Genomic DNA, 19643 nt, shown 5'->3' on the forward strand with positions numbered 1-19643 from the left:
TACCTAAAGGAGAAATAAAGAGTTTCCCAGACGAACAAAAGTTCGGGGATTTCATCAACACCAGACCTGTGCTACAAGAAATGCTAAAGGAAGGCCTCCAATCTGGAGTTGGACAGGCAGTGGTTAATTCTCCCAGCAATGATGTGTGGCAGCACATGCTAAGGGTTGTCTACCAGGGAAGCCCACCCAAGCAACCCTTAGTGCTCAGGGTTTTTCTTGGGGCATGCAGCTCCTGGGTGATTGACCCCAGCTACTCAGGTTTCAGTCCCTAGAGAGGTCATATTGATACAGCAAAGCCCAAAGCCTCAGGCATACAAAAACATTCTTACAAGGCAGAATATTCGGCCGGGTGCGGCGGCTCATGCCTGTAATCCCAGCACTTTGGGAGGCCGAGGCGGGTGGATCAACTGAGGTCAGGTGTTTGAGACTAGCCTGGCCAACGTGGCAAAAGCCCATCTCTACTGAAAATAGAGAAAAATTAGCTGGGAGTGGTGGCCGGTGCCACTCCCAGCTACTCAGGAGGCTGAGGCAGGAGAGTCACTTGAACCAGGGAGGCGGAGGTTGCAGTGAGCTGAGATCATGCCACTGCACTCCAGCCTGGGCAATAGAGCAAGACTCCACCTCAGAAAAAATAAAAATGAAGGCAGAAGATTCAAAGTGCTCAGAAGTTATCTCCCCAGAGGTGGTCAAGGGCCAGTCCTTTTTTTGGAATGTGCAGGGTTGGAGTGACCCAAGGCTGCTGAGCAAACTAACGCTTTACTGTCCAGTGGTCTACATTAGAATGCCCTGAGGAGCTTTCAGAATGCTCTATGGCCAGGCTGCACCCAGATCAATCACTCAGAGTCTCTAGAGGGTCTGTCCAAAGTCAAGACCCACTGCCATAGATAGTAATTGGTACCAAAGGAAGGAGTGAGCTCATCCCAGAGGGAATGAGGAGAGAGTGGTCACAGGTGGAAGAGATGGCCAAGAACAGTGGACTAAGGAGCAGCAGAGGCTGCAGACTGCGGGAGGGATGGCACACAGGGAAGGAGTGGCCAGAGAAAGGGCAGAGAACCAGGGTCCCCAGGTGTACTACATTCAGTGGTTTTTAGTATATTCAGAGTTGTGCAAAAACCACCACAATCATTTTTAAGACATTTTCAACAACTCCAAAAGAAACCCTGTGTCCTTTAGCTGTTACCACCCACCCACAATGACCCCATTCCCTCCAGCCCTGAGCAACTGCTTATCTACTCTCTGTCTCTATGGAATTGCCTATTTTGGACATCTCATATAATTGAAATCATACCATATGTGGTCTTTCATGATTAGCATCTTTCATTTAGCATAATAGTTTCAAAGTTCATCCATGTTATAGTGTGTTTAGTACTTTATTCCTTTCTATGGCTGAATAATATTACATTGTTTTTATTTTTTATTTTATTTTATTTTTTTAGAAGGAGTCTCACTTTGTGGCCCAGGCTGGCCTTGAACTCCTCGGCTCAAGTGATCCTCCCACTTTGGCCTCCCAAAGTGCAGGATTACAGGCGTGAGCCAGCATGCCAGGCCATATTCCATTGTATTGATATATCTCACATATGGTTATCTGTTCATCAGTTAACAGGCATTTGGGTTGTTTTCACAACTGGATGGTGGGTACATGGCAAAGGTGTAATCTGTAGCACAGACAGCCAAAAAGATCTGGGCATGCTTTTTGACCAAGGCCTGTCGGTCGGTGCAGAATGAGGGCCAAGAAGTCATGAGCAATCACAGCGGCCAGGTCCCATTTGAGCTTCCCCAGGACCATCACCTCCCAGTCCCGCAACTGGCAGGGAGAGACAGCGTGGTCGGTGTAGATGCACATTTTCTCAATGGTCATGGGCCCAGTCTTACGCAGCTTGGAGGCCAGCCGCATGGAGACCGCAACCAAGAGCTGCAACTGTGCCTTTCGGGTGGGTGGGGACGTAGGACAGGTAGCATGCAGGTGGTTCATGGCCAGGGGAAAGACTTCCTCCTTACAGCACTGCTCCTCCTCACAGCACTGCTCCTCACACACCTCCAGCATCCAGTAAACCAGCATCTTCCGCATGTGCGGCTTGCTCTCCCTTTGCACGCACTGGAAGTAGGCGCAGTGCACGCAGCGCTACTCCAAGGGGAGCAAGCTCTGCAGGACGCGCTGATCCCCTGGCGTCTGCGGGTCCTCGAGCCTTCGCAGCATAGCAGCTCCACACTCGGGCAGCGCACAGGCAGGGCGGGAGTGCAAGCTAGCGCCCATCATTTGTTTCTAAGTATTGTCATTCTTTGTGATACTATTAAAAATAGAATTATATTCCCAGTTTTGTTTTGGGGTTATTCATTGTACATGTAAAGAAATTGAGTTAATTTTTGTATATTGATCTCATAGTCTACAACTTTGCAGATTATTATTATATTAGTTATAATAGGGTTTTTTTGTAGATTCCTTAGGTTTTTCTATATACAAGATTGATACGGTTGGGCATAGTGGCTCACGCCTGTAATCCCAGCACTTTGGGAGGCCGAGGTGGGCGGATCACGAGGTCAGGAGATTGAGACCATCCTGGCTAACACGGTGAAACCCTGTCTCTACTAAAAATACAAAAAATTAGCCTGGCATGGTGGTGGTGGGCGCCTGTAGTCCCAGCTACTTGGGAGGCTGAGGCAGGAGAATGGCTTGAACCCGGGAGGCAGAGTTTGCAGTGAGCTGAGATCGCGCCACTGCACTCCAGCCTGGGCGACAGAGAGAGACTCTGTCTCAAAACAAACAAACAAACAAACAAACAAACAAAAAATATTTGCCAGGCGTAGTGGCAGGTGCCTGTAATTTCAGCTATTCAGGAGTCTGAGGCAGGAGAATCGCTTGAACCTGGGAGGCTGAGGTTGCAGTGAGCCAAGATCACACACCACTGCACTCCAGCCTAGATAACAGAGTGGGACTCCATCTCAAAAAAAAAAAAAAAAAAAAAAAGAATAAGAAAAAAAAGATTGATATGGTTTGGCTGTGTCTCCACCCAAATCTCATCTTGAATTGTAGCTCCCATAATTCCCATGTGTTGTGGGAGGAACACAGTGGGAGATAATTGAATCATAAGGGCGTTTCCTCCATACTGTTCTCCTGACAGTGAATAAGTCTCTCGAGATCTGATGATTTTATAAGGGGTTTCCCTCTGGCGTGGCTCTCATTCTTTTCTTGCCTGCTGCCATGTGAGATGCTCCTTGCTCTTTCGCCATGATTGTGAGGCCTCTCCACCCATGGGGAACTGTGAGCCAAACCTCTTTCCTTTATAAATTATCCAGTCTTGGGTATGTCTTTATAAGCAGCATGAGAATGGACCGATCATGTCATCTGCAAATAAAGATAGTTTTATTTTTTCTTTTCTAATCTGGAAGCTTTTGTTTCACTTTCTTGCGTAATTACCTTGGCTAGCACCTCTAGTACAATGTTGAATAGAAGTGGTTGGAATGCAGCTCCTTGTATTGTACCTGACCTTAAAAGAAAAGCATTCAGCCTTTCACCATTATGTATGTTAGCTGGGATGATCTGTAGATGCCCTTTGCCAGGTTGAAGAAGTTCCTTCCATTCTGTTTGTTAATAATTTTTATCATGAAATTTTGTCAATATTTTCAGCTTACATTGAGATGATCATATGGTTTTGTCCTTTATTCTGTTAATAAAATTATATTGGTTAATTTTCAGATGTTAAACCAACCTTGCCTTCCTGGGATTAATCCCAATTGGTCATGATATGGGCCTTTTTTATATGTTGCTGCATTCTGCTTACTTATATTTTTGCCATAACCTCTTAACTTGTTTGCATCTCTATTCCAAGCTCCTTACATTCTAGTCTCAGCACACTGGCTAGAGTGTTGTGATCATGCTACACTTCTTTTTTATATCTTCCAGGGGCTTCTTTCATACTTGAGTAAAAGATAAATTCTATATATATATATATATATTTTTTTTTTTTGAGACAGCGTTTCCCTCTGTCATCCAGGCTGGAGTGCAGTGGTGCAATCTTAGCTCACTGGAGCCTCCAGCTCCTGGGCTCATGCAATTCTCCCACCTCAGCCTCCCAAGTAGCTGGAACTACAGATGTGCACCACCACACTCAGCTAATTTTTGAATTTTTTGTAGAGATGGGGTCTTGTCATGTTACCCAGGCTTAAAAGCTAAACGCTTGCAAAACCAAATGTGAACATGCTTCCTACATCCTTTCTAGCACATTTCCTGGCACTCTCTGCCTCAACTACTTGGCTTTTGCTATACTAATCTCCTTTCTATTTCTCAAACATCCAAGAAAATTTCCACCTCAGGATATTAGCGCTTACTGTATTCCCTTCCTGGACGTGTACTCTCCTATATGGCTTACTCCCTTTCTTCCTTCAGGCTTCTGTTCAAATGTTGCCTTATTAGAGAAGCATTTTCTGATCACCCTATAAAATAGCAACCCTTTTACCTCTAAGCATGGCATGATATTCTCCATTCTCCTAACTGCTCTTTTTCCATAGAATGTGTTACTATGACATTCTATATATATATATATATATTATTATTATTATTATTATACTTTAAGTTTTAGGGTACATGTGCACAATGTGCAGGTTAGTTACATATGTATACATGTGCCATGTTGGTGTGCTGCACTCATTAACCCGTCATTTAACCTTAGGCATATCTCCTATTGCTATCCCTCCCCCCTCCCCCCACCCCACAACAGGCCCTGGTGTGTGATGTTCCCCTTCCTGTGTCCATGTGTTCTCATTGTTCAATTCCCACCTATGAGTGAGAACATGCAGTGTTTGGTTTTTTGTCCTTGCAATAGTTTGCTGAGAATGATGGTTTCCAGCTTCATCCATGTCCCTACAAAGGACATGAACTCATCATTTTTATGGCTGCATAGTATTCCATGGTGTATATGTGCCACATTTTCTTAATCCAATCCATCATTGTTGGACATTTGGGTTGGTTCCAAGTCTTTGCTATTGTGAATAGTGCCTCAATAAACATACGTGTGCATGTGTCTTTATAGCAGCATGATTTATAATCCTTTGGGTATATACCCAGTAATGGGATTGCTGGGTCAAATGGTATTTCTAGTTCTAGATCCCTGAGGAATTGCCACACTGACTTCCACAGTGGTTGAACTAGTTTACAGTCCTACCAACAGTGTAAAAGTGTTCCTATTTCTCCACATCCTCTCCAACACCTGTTGTTTCCTGACTTTTTAAATGATCACCATTCTAACTGGTGTGAGATGGTATCTCATTGTGGTTTTGATTTGCATTTCTCTGATGGCCAGTGATTATGAGCATTTTTTCATGTGTCTTTTGGCTGCATAAATGTCTTCTTTTGAGAAGTGTATGTTCATATCCTTCGCCCATTTTTTGATGAGGTTGTTTGTTTTTTTCTTGTAAATTTGTTTGAGTTCATTGTAGATTCTGGATATTAGCCCTTTGTCAGATGAGTAGATTGCAAAAATTTTCTCCCATTCTGTAGGTTGCCTGTTCACTCTGATGGTTGTTTCTTTTGCTGTGCAGAAGCTCTTTAGTTTGTCTTTCCTCAAGTAGAATATAAGCATAAATTAATTCATTTAACTATATATTGGACAACTATTACTCATTTATCAGGCAAGCGTGGTGGCTCATGCCTGTAACCCAGGCACTTTGGGAAGCCACATTGGGTAGATCACCTGAGCCCAGGTGTTTGAGACTGGCCTGGGCAACATGGTGATGAAACCTCGTCTCTACCAAAACTACAAAAATTAGCCCAGCATGATGGTGCATGCTTCTGGTCCCAGCTACTCGGGAAGCTGATGCAGGAAAATCACCTGAGCCAGGAAGGTGGAGGTTGCAGTAAGACAAGATCATGGAACTACGCTTCAGCCTGGGCAACAGGGCGAAACCCTGTCTCAACAACAGTGACAAATTTATTACTATTGGCAATGCTGTAGATTCTGGGAATACAATGGTGACAAAAAAAAACAAAAAAATCCTTCCTTTTATAGAGCCTAACCTATAGTGAAGAGAGAAATTCAATAAACAAATCCAAGTAAAATATGTAGTATGTCAGTAGTGATAAGTGCTATAGAGAAATTGATGCAAGAAATGTAGAGATTGGGGTGGGGAGGAAATGGGGCGATGTAGGTCAAAAGATACAAACAAGCAGGCCGGGGGCAGGGAATGGCTAATGCCTGTAATCCCAGAACTTTGGGAAGCTGAGGCGGGTGGATCACTTGAAGTGAGGAGTTCGAGACCAGCCTGGCCAACTGGTGAAACCCCATCTTGACTAAAAATACAAAAAATTAGCCAGGCATGGTGGCACATGCCTGTAGTCCCAGTTATTTGGGAGGCTGAGGCAGGAGAATGGCTTGAACCCAGGAGGTGGAGGTTGCAGTGAGCCGAGATCGCACCACTGCACTCCAACCTGGGCGACAGAGAAAGAGACTCAAAAAAAAAAAAAAGGAAAAAAAAAAACAGATACAAACAAGCAGATATGTAGGATGAACTAGAGATCTAATGTACAACAAACACTGCAGTTAGTAAAATTGTATTGTATTAGGGACTTTTGTTAACTAAGCAGATTTTAGCTGCTCTTGTCATAAAAAAGTAACTGTGAGATGGTAGGTATGTTGATTTGCTTCACTGTAGTAACCATTTCACTGTCTATATGCATCCTATAACATCATGTTGTAAACTTCAAATATACACAATAAAATTTATTTGGAAAAAAAGAAATATAGAGGTCACTGATGTTCTTTCTAAAAAATAAATAAATAAATTTTTTGTAGAGATGGGTCTCACCATGTTGCCCAGGCTGGTCTCCAACTCCTGGCTTCAAGTGATCTTCCCGCCTCAGCCTCCCAAAGTGCTGGGATTACAGGTATGAGCCACCGCCCGCAGCGTCTGATGTTTTGTTTGTTTGTTTTTGTTGTGCAGGAGACTGAAGTTTTATTATTACTCAAATCAGTCTCCCCAAGCATTTGGGGATCAGAGTTTTTAAGGACAACTTGCTGGGTGGGGGGAAGCCAGTGGGCCAGGAGTGCTGATTGGCTAGGTAGGAGATGAAATCATAGGGAGTTGAAGCTGTCCTCTTGCTCTGAATCAGTTCCTGGGTGTGATGTTCTTAATGAGAACATTTTCAATGGAGAAATGGGCATTTAAACCTTACTGGAGTAGATTCAAATACAAATGAAAAGACAGAAATTAAAACAGAGCACTGAAAATGATTTTAGGGATTTTACTATAAAGTTGAATAGAGAAATGGGGTGTGAAGAAACACCATGTTTGTATGTTGATCAAAATTATCCAGAATAAATAGAAAATAAGTGATATGGAAGAGAGAAGAGAAAGCTGCTGAGCTATGTCCTTGTGTAAGTCTTGGAGAGGGATGGAGTCTAGTTCCCAAGTAGAGGAAATGGACTTGATATAAGGCCTAAATGGGATGATGTAGGCAGGTGGTATATTTGTTAAACGAATCACTGACAGTTCATCATAACAGTAAAGTATTTGCCCAAGGAAATTCCACCCGATGGCATAGCATCATAGGACTTCCTCTCATCTTCTTTTTAAACAGAGTCCATTTTTGTATGGCACATACTCAACAGGGTTGTAGTCTATAATAAAAATTTAAAGTTCAGGTTCAACTGCTGCTTGTTATGATTTCCTGAAGGCTATTGCAACAGTTATTTTACTTGGGACCATTTTTTTTTTTTTTTTTTTTGAGACAGAGTCTTGCTCTGTTGCCTAGGCTGGAGTGCAGTGGCGTGATCTTGGCTCATGCAACCTCCACCTCCCGGGTTCAAGCAATTTTCCTGCCTCAGCCTCCCAGGTAGCTGGTATTACAGGCACCTGCCACCATGCCCAGCTAATTTTTATATTTTTAGTATAGATGGAGTTTCACCATGTTGGCCAGGCTCCTGACCTCAGGTGATCCACCCGCCTCGGCCTCCCAGAGTGCTGGGATTACAGGCGTGAGCCACTGCGCATGGCCTACTTGGGACCATTTGTCATGTGATATACTAGGAATCCAACTGAAAATCATGTAAATTTCGTTTTTGTTTTGTTTTTTTGAGAGTGTTTTGCTCTGTCACCCAGGCTGGAGTGCAGCGGCACAATCTCGGCTCACTGCAACCTTCTCCTCCTGGGTTCAAGCAATTCTCCTGCTTCAGCCTCCCAAGTAGCTGGGATTACAGGTGCCTGCCACCATGCCCAGCTAGGTCTTTTTTAAGACAGGGTCTGCCTCTGTCCCCAGGCTGAAGTGCAGCGGCACAATCTCGGCTCACTACAACCTCTCCATCCCAGACTCAAGTGATCCTCCCACCTCAGCCTCCTGAGTAGCTGGGACAACAGGCACAGGCCACCACATCCGGCTAATCTTCGCATTTTTGGTAAAGATGGGGTTTCGCCTGCGTTGCCCAGGGTGGTCTTGAACTCCTGGGCTCAAGCAATCCTCCCACCTTGGCCTCCTAAGGTGCTGAGATTACAGGTGTGAGCCACCTCACCCAGCCTCTAAATCATGTAAATTTTAAATGCATATTCATGCCTTTTATCTAACATTTCCATTTCTAGGAATTCACCTTATAGACAGACTTTCACAAGCATGCAATGTCATATGTAGAAGGATGTTCACTGCAGCATTTTTTTGTGATGGCAGAAGAATGGAAACAACTTAAACATAAGTGATTCACTACATAAACTTTCGTAAAGACATGTTACAGAACTCTCTTCCCTATTCTAAGGAGGGATGCACTTGTCTAGAGAGTACTTGTGGCGTGGGAAGACTTTAAATTTTTTACTCCATATAAGTCTGAATTATAAATATTTTATAACGAGCATGTATCAATATATTTTTGCCATTAAAAATAAATATAAGGCCGGACACAGTGGCTCACAGCTGGAATCCCAGCACTTTGGGAGGCAGAGGAGGATGGATCACTTGAGGTCAGGAGTTTGAAACCAGCCTGGCCAACATGGTGAAACTCTGTATCTACTAAAAATACAAAAAATAGCTGGGCATCATGGCATGTGCCTGTAATCCCAGCTACTCAGGAGGCTGAGGCGGGAGAATTGCTTGAACCCAGAAGACGGAGGTTGCAATGAGCTGAGATCGTGCCACTGCACTACAGCCTGGGCAACAAACTAAGACTCTGCCTCAAAAACAAAAATAAATAAATACATAAATATATTGGGCCAGGTGCAGTGGTTCACGCCTGTAATCCCAACACTTTGGGAGGCTGAGGCAGGCAGATCACTTCAGGTCAAGAGTTTGAGACCAGCTTGGTCAACATGGTGAAACCCCATCTCCATTGAAAATATAAAAATTAGCCAGGTGTGGTGGCACACATCTGTAGTCTAAGCCACTTGGGAGGCTGAGACAGGAGAATCACTTGAGCCCCAGAGGCGAAGGTTGCAGTGAGCTGAGATTGCGCCACTGCACTCCAGCCTGGATGACAGAGTGAGGCCCTGTCTCCAAAATAAATAAATAAACATAAAAGCTAAATACATAAATAAGTAAATATATTGGGCCAGGCACAGTAGCTCACGCCTGTAATCCCAGCACTTTGGGAGGCAAAAGCAGGTCAATTGCTTGAGCCCAGGAGTTTGAGACCAGGCTGGGCCACGTGGCAAAACCTCGTCTTTCTACCAAAAATACAAAAATTAGCCAAGAGCAGTGGTACATGCCTGTCGTCCCAGCTACAGGACAGTTTTGAAACACATGAACTATCACAATCTTGCAAATTCTATGAAACTGTGTCTTTTATTTTTAAAATCATGAAAGTTTTGCATTTTCTCCATTACTTCTATGTTTGTTACAGTATAACAATGACACTTTCCCTAACTATACAGTTAAATTACTTCACATTTCTCCTCAAATTGGCTGAGTAAAATTGAAAGTCCTCCACTCTCATGCCTTCCCCCAGCCCTGACTGCAGAGATTCCTGAGCTCTTATGTGAGATGCACAGCTCTAATGCTGGGGGCTTCTTCTATTTTTTGTTTTTGTTTTTAGACAGATTTTCGCTCTTGTCACTCAGGCTGGAATGCAATGGCTTGATCTTGGCTCACTGCAACCTCTGCCTCCTGGGTTCAAGCAATTCTCCTGCCTCAGCCTCCCAAGTAGCTAGGATTACAGGTGCATGCCACCACACCCAGCTAATTTTTGTATTTTTAGTAGAGATGGGGTTTCACCATGTTGGTCAGGCTGGTCTCAAACTCCTTCCTCGGCCTCCCAGAGAGCTGGGACTACAGGCATGAGCCACCGCACCCAGCCAGGACTTCTTGATCTCCTTTGTCAAATGCCTGAGTGTTCAATGAATGATTGAACATGTCAAAGTCAAATAAAATATAGAGATGAATTTCTACGTTTAAAAAGTCTTATTTGGGAAGCAAAAATTGCAATTCGAGCACACAGGCCGGGTGTCCTTCAATTTGAAAAACAGGCAGTTACAGCAGCCAGGTTTGCAGAGAATTGCATTCTTGGAGCAATGTTTTGTACCCTGAGTGCTTTTTCACTCCTTGCTTCTCCATCTTTAATTGGATATAACAAGGATGATCCAATTTGTATGATCAACTTCCATGAACATTATGTTGTCTAAATAAGGAGAAACTCCTATGGATAAATTGCCCTTAGTAACCAAACAGTTGACTTCACACAGCCATTCAGTTCACACTTAAAAGGAAAGCTCACAAACCTCTTTCACTGGCTTTAGACCAATACATGTAGAAAGATTTACTTATACATTAGGGAAGCCAAAATATATGTTTATATTAATTCCATTCATTTATTCATTGCTTAAGTCCAAGGAGAAAATTTCATAGTTCTGTTCCTTGTGGCTTAGCCTAGCATCTTGAAAAAGGATAATCCCTAAGTATTAAGTAAAGATCAGGGGATCTTCAAGGTATAGTATAAAAGGCACTGGCCTGGGAATCAGAAGAAGGGAATCAGAAGAAGTGGGTTCTAGTCCTCCCTCTACTAGGAGCCTACCACCTGTCATTAGGAAAGAAATTTAATGTCTTTTTCTTTTTCTTTTCTTTTCTTTTCTTTTCTTTTTTTTTTTTTTTGAGATGGTGTCACGCTCTGTTGCCCAGGCTGGAGTGCAGTGGCACAAATCTAGGCTCACTGCAACCCCTGCTCCCTGGGTTCAAGTGATTCTCATCCTTCAGCCTCCCAAATACCTGGACTACAGGTGTGCACCACCATACTTAGCTAATTTTTGTATTTTTAGTAAAGGCAGGGTTTCCCCATGTTGGCCAGGCTGGTCTGGAACTCCTGGCCTCAAGCGATCCACCTGCCTCGGCCTCCCAAAGTGGTGGGATTATAAGCGGAAGGCACCATGCCTGGCCAAAAGCTTATTTTAAAATCATATTTTCTTTCATTTAATCTTTATGAGTGGATTGTAGAAACCATGGAATTGCTTAAGATTGACATGTTTTCTGAACTAAAATGAGTGAAATGTGTATATTCATCATCTGACAAGCCAGTTGTTTAATGTAGTCAACATGCTTGTTATGTAATCACTTCTGGTTGTATTTCTAAATTCTGGGCCTCCCAACTTCTCTAGCAGGTCAAGCCAGGAGGACTTTCATGAACTACATCAGCATGCCAATCCCAACCATTCACTAAGATTCACTCTTAGATTTTGCTGGGAAATATAAGATACAAATAAAATTGCCAAAGTGACTCCTCATGGTTATATTATGCAGAGAGATAGACTGTTGTTATGTTGTTTCCTTAGAAATCATTACAAGCTGCTTCACGTGTGTGTGTGTGTGTCACAGTATATTACATGTGCAATATATTATACATGCAATATATTAAAAGATACAGGTTGGTCACTGTGGCTCAAGCTGTAATCCCAGCACTTTGGGAGGCTGAGGTGGGTGGATCACCTGAGGTCAGGAATTCGAGACCAGCCTGGCCAACATAGTGAAACCCTGTCTCTACTAAAAATACAAAAATTAGCCAGGCGTGGTGGCACACACCTGTAATTCCAGCTACTTGGGAGGCTGAGGCAGGAGAATCGCTTGAACATGGGAGGCAGAGGTTGTAGTGAGCTGAAATCACACCACTGCACTCCATCCTGGGCAACAGAAAGAGACTCCATCTTAAAAAAAAAAAAAAAAAAAGATTAGCAGGGCCCATTATCTCTTTCCTGAACTTTGTCTGTATCAAATTATTCAAGAATCTCATGGCCTGACACGGTGGCTCACGCCTGTAATCCCAGCACTTTAGGAGGCCAAGGCGGGCAGATCATCTGAGGTTGGGGGTTGGCAACCAGCCTGACCAACATAGAGAGACCTCATCTCTACTAAAAATACAAAATTAGCCAAGTATGGTGGCACATGCCTGTAATCCCAGCTATTCGGGAGGCTGAGGCAGGAGAATCGCTTGAACCTGGGAGGCAGAAGTTGCGGTGAGCCGAGATTTTGCCGTTGCACTCCAGGCTGGGCGACAAGAGTGAAACTCTGTCTCAAAAAAAAAAAAAAAAAAAAGAATCTCGGGCACAGGCTTTGGCCATCCAAATGGACAGTCCTGTTAACAAACACCAAAGAAAGAACTGATAAATCTGGTCATTTCTGACAACACGTGTTTTCTGCCACTGCTATTTCTATTATGGCCACATGGAGTCACTGTTGAAAACTGTCCAATGCTTTCTCACCCAATGCTAGGATGAAGCAATGCCCTGCTGTTTCAAATGTCCTCATAAAAACAGCTTACATTTACTTTGAACATACTGTGTGACAGTATTGTGTTGTGTCTAATTACATCACAATATGCCTGTGAATGTTGTTGTTATCCCCATTTTATGGATATGAAAATTGAGAAAATTAAGCAAAATGACCAAGGTCATAGAATAAGTGGTGATTCCAACACAGATTTGACTGACTTTCTAATCATTGTGATTATAGGTCCATCCCTTAAACTTGTTCATGCTTTTTGATCTAGTAATTCCATTACTAGAAATCTATCTGAATTAGAGATGCACATGAAGGTACATACAGGAATTTTCAATGCCATATATGTAGGAAAGTTAGAAGCAATCTACAGTTCCAATGTGAGGAGGGGACTACTTAATTTGTAATCTATCCACAGATTAGAATACTATTAGATTATAAATATAGATCTCTATTTATACATATGTTACATATAATTTATATGTAATATATAATATGTATTATACTACATATTTATATTATATATAATATAATTTATATGTAATATATGTAAATATAGATCTCTATTTTTATATGTTACATATATGTATACATCATATGTATATATCATATTTATGTTACATATGTTATATCATATTTACATGTGTTACATCTGATATATATTTTATGTAACAATATATAAACATGTGTAATATGTAAACATGTATATTATATATAACACATATATACATATTACATTGTATGTAACATATATGAAGAGATCTAAGTTTATATGTATATCACATATATATGTATATTTACATATATACACACGTATATACACATACACACACATATACACATACACACACACACACACACACACACACACACACACACACACACACACATATATATTTTAGAGACAGGGTCTACTATGATGCCCAGGCTGGAGTGCAGTGGTTGTTTACAAGCACAATCATAGGTCACTGTGGCCTAAGACTCTTGGGCTCAAGTGATCCTCCTGCCATAGCCTCCAGAGTAGCTGGAGCTACATACATGCCACCATGCCCAGCTAACATATTACATTTATTAAGTGATTAATATTAATATTAGCCACTTATAGTTCTAAGCATTTTAGGTATATTGGCTCAGTTAACACCCACAAAACCCTAGGATACAGGTAGTAATAGAATATTTTATCTAGCGTAAGAAATCATCATTATGAAACACTTCATTATTTTGGCCAGGTGTGGTGGCTCACACCTGTCTGTAATCTCAGCACTTTGGGAGGCTAAGCCAGGGGGATCACTTGAGACCAGGAGTTCGAGACCAGCCTGGCCAACATGGCAAAACCCCGTCTCTACTGAAAATACAAAAATTAGCCAGGTGTGGTGGTACGCACCTGTAATCCCAGCTACTCGGGAGTCTGAGGCACGAGAATCACTTAAACCCAGGAGGCAGAGGTTGCACTGAACCAAGATCACGCCACTGCACTCCAGCTTGGGCGACAGAGCGAAACTCCATCTCAAAGAAAAAAAAAAAGAAGTAGCATTAACAATTTTCTTATTTCCTCTGTGATTTCTTTTTCTAAGCCGTTGTTGCTATGGAGACCATGAAGAATCAGTGAGACTGAAAGTCATGTACCAGTGCCCATAGGCAAATGTTTTAAAGTGTGAACATTGGATTTTGGAATCTGACACTAATGTTCTTGCAGTTTGGCTTTGTGTATTCCCAAGTAAGTTTTCTTTCTGTTTTTGGGAGACTATAGTTTCTAAAGTTGGTCCAGGGAACTGATTCGTGAGTCAGAAGTATTTGGTGAGCTTACTAAAATATAGATTTCTGGGCTGCACCCTTAGAATTACTTCATCAGAATATCTAGAAGTGCGATTCAGGAATCTGTATTTTTTTTAAAACAAGGTTTAGCATTTATAAATGGTTTTAGCTAAAGCATGAGAACCATTACTGAAGACCATCACTGGATGTGTGCCAATAATTCATGGAATTCTAGATTTACTTTTTAATTTACTTTTCTTTCTCTCTTTTTTTGAAACAGAGTTTCACTCTGTCACCCAGGCTGGAGTGCAATGGTGTGAACACAGCTCACTGCAGCTTTAAACTCCTGGGTTCAAGCGGTCCTCCCCCGTCAGCCTCCCAAGTAGCGAGCCTCCATACCTGGCTAGTTTTTGTATTTTATGTAGAGACAGATTGTCTCCATGTTTCCCAGGCTGGTATCAAACTCTAGAGCTCAAGAGATCTTCCAGTCTTGGCTTCCCAAAGTGCTGGGATTATAGGCATGATCCACCACACCTACTCTTTGTATTTAATTTTCTGAAAAGGATATGGTCTTCTTTTTTCATTTTATTTCATTTTATTTTATTATTTTATTTTTATAGAGACAAGGTCTACCTATGTTGCCCAGGCTGGCCTCGAACTCCTGGGCTCAAGGGATCCTTCTGCCTCAGCCTCCCAACGTGCTAAAATTACAGGCATGAGCCATAACGCACAGCGCTAAAGAGTATGTTTTACCACATGAAAAACATCTCATCAAATCCAGTTATTGCTGGAGTTAAGCACTTTTCTCCATGCAGACCAAGTGGATGCTTTTTTTCTATGCTTGCTTCCATATTAATTTTTGACTTAGATTTCAGAGACTTTTATTAATTTACTTACATGTGATTTTCAACTGTGATCCCCTCTTTAGTAATGAGTTCTATGAACTTAGACCCCAATAATTCCATGAATTCAGATGCACAGTCACTCATACAAGTACAGCATTACTCATTTCTATTATTTTGTTTGTTTGTTTGTTTGAGATGGGGTCTGACTCTGTTGCCCAGGCTGGAGTGCAGTGCAGTCTGGAGCTCCCAGGCTTAAGTGATCCATCCCCTCATCTCGGCCTCAAGAGTAGTTGGCACTACAGGTGGATGCCACCATGCCCAGCTAATTTTATTTATTTATTTATTTATTTGTAGATACAGCGTCTCCCTATGTTGCCCAGGCTGGTCTTGAACTCCTGGGCTCAAGCAATCCTCCCCACTTGGCCTCTCAAAGTGCTAGGACTACAGGAGTGAGCCACCGCGCCTGGCCCACTATTCCTGCCACATTTAGTACTAACTCATGTCTTCTTTTCTTCAGAATAAGAAAGGAAGAAAAGTGTCCTTGGAAGAGACAAGAGACAAGAGAGATTGCTGTCCCGTGTTTCTTTCCTCTGCAGGCTGTTGTATCCTGTCAGAGCCATCTGTCACTGGATCTCTTAGGAAATGCTACTGCTGCCAGACTGTCTTGTGGGCAGAAGTGCCTGTACCTGCCAGTGGTTGCAAGGCAGAGGAAACAGCCTCTAGTTGGATGGGGACCAGCATCTGGGAAATACTCTGACTCCACTCCTGGGGATAGAACCCATGTTTTCTTCCTGGGTCAAGCCACTTCTCGTTGGTCTATGGCAATCCAGCTGGGTTAGGAAAAGAAAAGCCCGCCTGGGCAGCCACATAGCTAAAGGCTCAGGACATTAAACACTAGGCTTGCTCTTCTTTGTCCCAGTGTATTAAAAAACAAACACTCCATGTAGTTCCCTGAGACACAAAAACAGGCCTTTAAACTGACCTTTCTAAAGAAACTGTTAGCTGGGCATGGTGGCTCACACCTGTAATCCCAGCACTTTGGGAGGCCGAGGCAGGCAGATCACTAGAGGTCAGAAGTCCAAGACAAACTTGTCCAACATGGTGAAACCCCATCTCTACTAAAAGAAAAAAAATTAGTGGGGCATGGTGGCAGGCGCTTGTAATCCCAGCTACTCAGGAGGCTGAGGTAGGAGAATCGCTTGAATCCAGGAGGTGCAGGTTGCAGTGAGCCAAGATCACGCCACTGCACTCTAACCTGGGTGACAGAGCTAAACTCTGTCTCAAAAATAAAAAAGAAAGAAGGAAGGAAGGGAGGGAGGGAGGGAAAGAAAGAGGGAAGAAAGAGAAAGGAAGGAAGGAAAAAAGGAAGGAAAGAAAGAAAGAAAGAAGGAAAGAAAGAAAGAGAAAGAAAGAAAGAAAGAAAGAAAGAAAGAAAGAAAGAAAGAAAGAAAGAAAGAAAGAAAGAAAGAAAGAGAGAAAGTAAAAAAGAAAGAAAGAAACTGTTGCCAGGGGAGGTGACTCAGGCCTGTAATCCCGGCACTTTGGGAGGCCAAGGTGGGCAGATCACCTGAGGTCAGCAGTTTGAAATCAGCCTGACCAAAATGGTGAAACCCCGTCTCTACTAAAAGTACAAGAATTAGCCAGGCTGTGGTGGCGCACACTGTAATTCCAGCGACTCAGGAGGCTGAGGCGGGAGAATCGCTTGAACCCTGGAGGTGGAGGTTGCAGTGACCCGGGATTGTGCCACTATACTCCAGCCTGGATGACAGAGGGAGACCCTGTCTCAAAAGAAAAGAAAAGAAAGAAAAAAAGAACCTGTTAAGATCTCCTAAAGCCTCTGCAAACTATGTCAAACATTCAATAGTTCCTTAGTTGGGTATTTTCTTAAAATTTTCCTGTTTCTTATCAATGTTAGATATTTTTCCAAGAACTCAAGGGAGATTTGCAGTGGGATAATCCAGTTCACATGGTAAAAATGAAACCACTACCACATAGCTTGTGATGCAATAAAGTAAGTGAAATAAAAGAGGCACAAAAGGAAACCGGAAGTTTCCATATCTTAAAAAGAAAAGCCACAGTGATAAGGCTTCAACCTGCTGAGTCGGTTACCCAGGTTTCTCCAGGCACTGGAGAAACCTCCATGCGGGGTTTCTGTTACTAACAGAGCCCTATTGAGTTGAAAGAAAAACCCATCCACCACCAAGCGCTACTCTATTTCTCTGGCATCAAGAAGGTTAACTTTTTTCACTCTATTTATGCCTTTTTTTTTTTCCTATAATCAAGGAAAGTAAAGCTCAAAGGGATTAAATAGCTTTTCTAAATCAACAGCTAGTATCAGGCCAAAAAAGAAAAAAATTGGCATCTGGATGTTATATAACACTAAAGCCCATATTTTTTTCTTTTACCTCAGACTTTCCACCAGGGACTAAAACAGGTTCAAATACTGTGTAATTGATTGTATTTGATTATGGTGTATTTATGGGGACTATGTAAAGCAACATTTCTTTATAATATTATTTTCTTTTCTTTTTTTTTTTGAGACCGAGTCTTGCTCTGTTGCCCAGGCTAGAATGCAGTGGCAAGATCTGTCCATATCAATTAATAACAAAATTGAAACACGGACTTAAGTGACAAATGTTTATTCATCCACAGTGACTTTTGACTTATACCAGGCTGCTATAATCTAGAACATTATGTTTATGTGAGCGTCACAGTCTCAGAAATATTCTCCCTGACCTAAGTAAGTTCTAGTCCCAAAGTATCTCTCCCCATCCCATTCACTTCCTTCACCTTGTTCATTTCCTCTTGAAACGTGTCATAAATTGTGCACTTATGTGTATTTATTTATTTGTTCAGTGTCTCTCTCTCCCTGACAAAACTCTAGACTCCATGAAGGCCATTGAGTTTTGTGCACTGCTGCTCCCCAGCACCTAAAACTGTGACTGGCATATACTACACACTCAAATATTTGTTGCATGAACGGATAAAGGAGCAGAATTGTCTTTTAAACGATATAGTGGTTATTCTTTTCTTCTCACTTGCAAAGCTGATTTTAGAAGCAGGTGCCAGAGATAAAGGTTACAAAATCTTAATATCTGTGCTTTACAAAATCAGAACGATGTTCACTAAAATGTTGACAGCAATTATTGTTGATCTGAGTGTTGGGATTGGTGGGTAAATTTCATTATCCCTATTTTCTAGCAAGTCTTTAGTAAACAGGAATTGTTTTGAAATCAGATTTAAGCTTTTAAAAAGTATAAACTCTTGGTATGCTCTCTAATTTGCTGTTCTTCTGAGAGCAGTTAGAGCTATAATCTGTGCATCAGGATGGGGAGCATCTGAAGTTTCCCCAAATGTAACTAACTAGAGCCAAGAAGGTACATCTCAATATTCCAGTATCTCCTTCTGCCAGGAGGTCTCTGCACCCAGACTATGCTCTGTGAATCTTGGATCTGAGGGATAAAACTGGGGGACCCAACTGGGCAGCAGTTGACTTAGCTAGAACCACTCATGGTGGTGGGTTTCAGGCAAACAAGGATGTGGGAGGCAACTTGGTGTCAACTGAGGGCTGCATGCATAAGTGAGGGGGACTGGCCAGTGGCTTCATGGTTGACAGCAGCCCATGAGTAATGTGGGCTGTACCTCCAATACCTATAGCAATCCCTGGGGCCCACTGATGTGCGTAAGTGTCTCTTGAATGAGTGGGTGACTTAGCACCTGCGAAGTCCAAGAATATAGTAACCTAATGGCTATATAATTTTGAAGGCAATATATTTGAGTTAGAATTTTGGCCATGTGTATTATCTGAGTGATCTTGGACAAGTTACTAATCTCCAAATTTCAGATCCCTCAAATACAAAACAAGCCTTGTAACAGCAACTTTCAGGGTCACTGCATCAGGGATATTAACTGAGTAAATGAAAGTATGTTTTTCAAAAACATTTTAGTACAGTATAAATACATGCAATACATGATTTCACTTTTCTCCTATGGTTAGAGCTGTAGGTTAAGAGGTTTTGATATTATGAAAAGTAAAATGAAAACAAGATAGCTTTTCTTTTTTCCATTATATAATAAAGAAACCAAAGCTCTACGAGTTTAAGTGACTTGCCCAAGGTCACATGGACAGAAAATGGGGAAGCAGAGATTTGAATTTAAAAAGTGTTCTTTTCACTTGGTTAGTATTTCCAAGGAACAGTCCCTTCTTGCTTTCTGAAGTTCAGATTTCAGGGGCCCAAGCCTACCTCTACTGAATGAGAATTTCCTAGGTGATACTTATAAGGCAAATGAGAATCACTGGTCCTAAAACCAAGCCATCATCAGCATGGAGTTAAGATTCTGAGTGAATGTGCCCCCCTGTGACAGGCTGGCCA

At 42.1% G+C, this 19643-nt stretch overlaps 1 pseudogene, besides 2 other annotated features; it reads right to left on the reverse strand.

Moving 5' to 3' along the window:
• On the reverse strand, window positions 1626-2253 carry CCND3P1 (cyclin D3 pseudogene 1; annotated as a pseudogene).
• Window positions 17031-17150: an enhancer, noted in NCBI's record as "active region_3209". NCBI's record gives its function as "activates an Ori minimal core promoter by ATAC-STARR-seq in GM12878 lymphoblastoid cells {active_cell/tissue: GM12878}" and the evidence as "EXISTENCE:reporter gene assay evidence [ECO:0000049][PMID:35858748]".
• Window positions 17191-17260: an enhancer, noted in NCBI's record as "active region_3210". NCBI's record gives its function as "activates an Ori minimal core promoter by ATAC-STARR-seq in GM12878 lymphoblastoid cells {active_cell/tissue: GM12878}" and the evidence as "EXISTENCE:reporter gene assay evidence [ECO:0000049][PMID:35858748]".

The sequence above is a fragment of the Homo sapiens genome, chromosome 10 (assembly GCF_000001405.40).
Source record: "Homo sapiens chromosome 10, GRCh38.p14 Primary Assembly".
Classification (NCBI taxonomy): domain Eukaryota; kingdom Metazoa; phylum Chordata; class Mammalia; order Primates; family Hominidae; genus Homo; species Homo sapiens.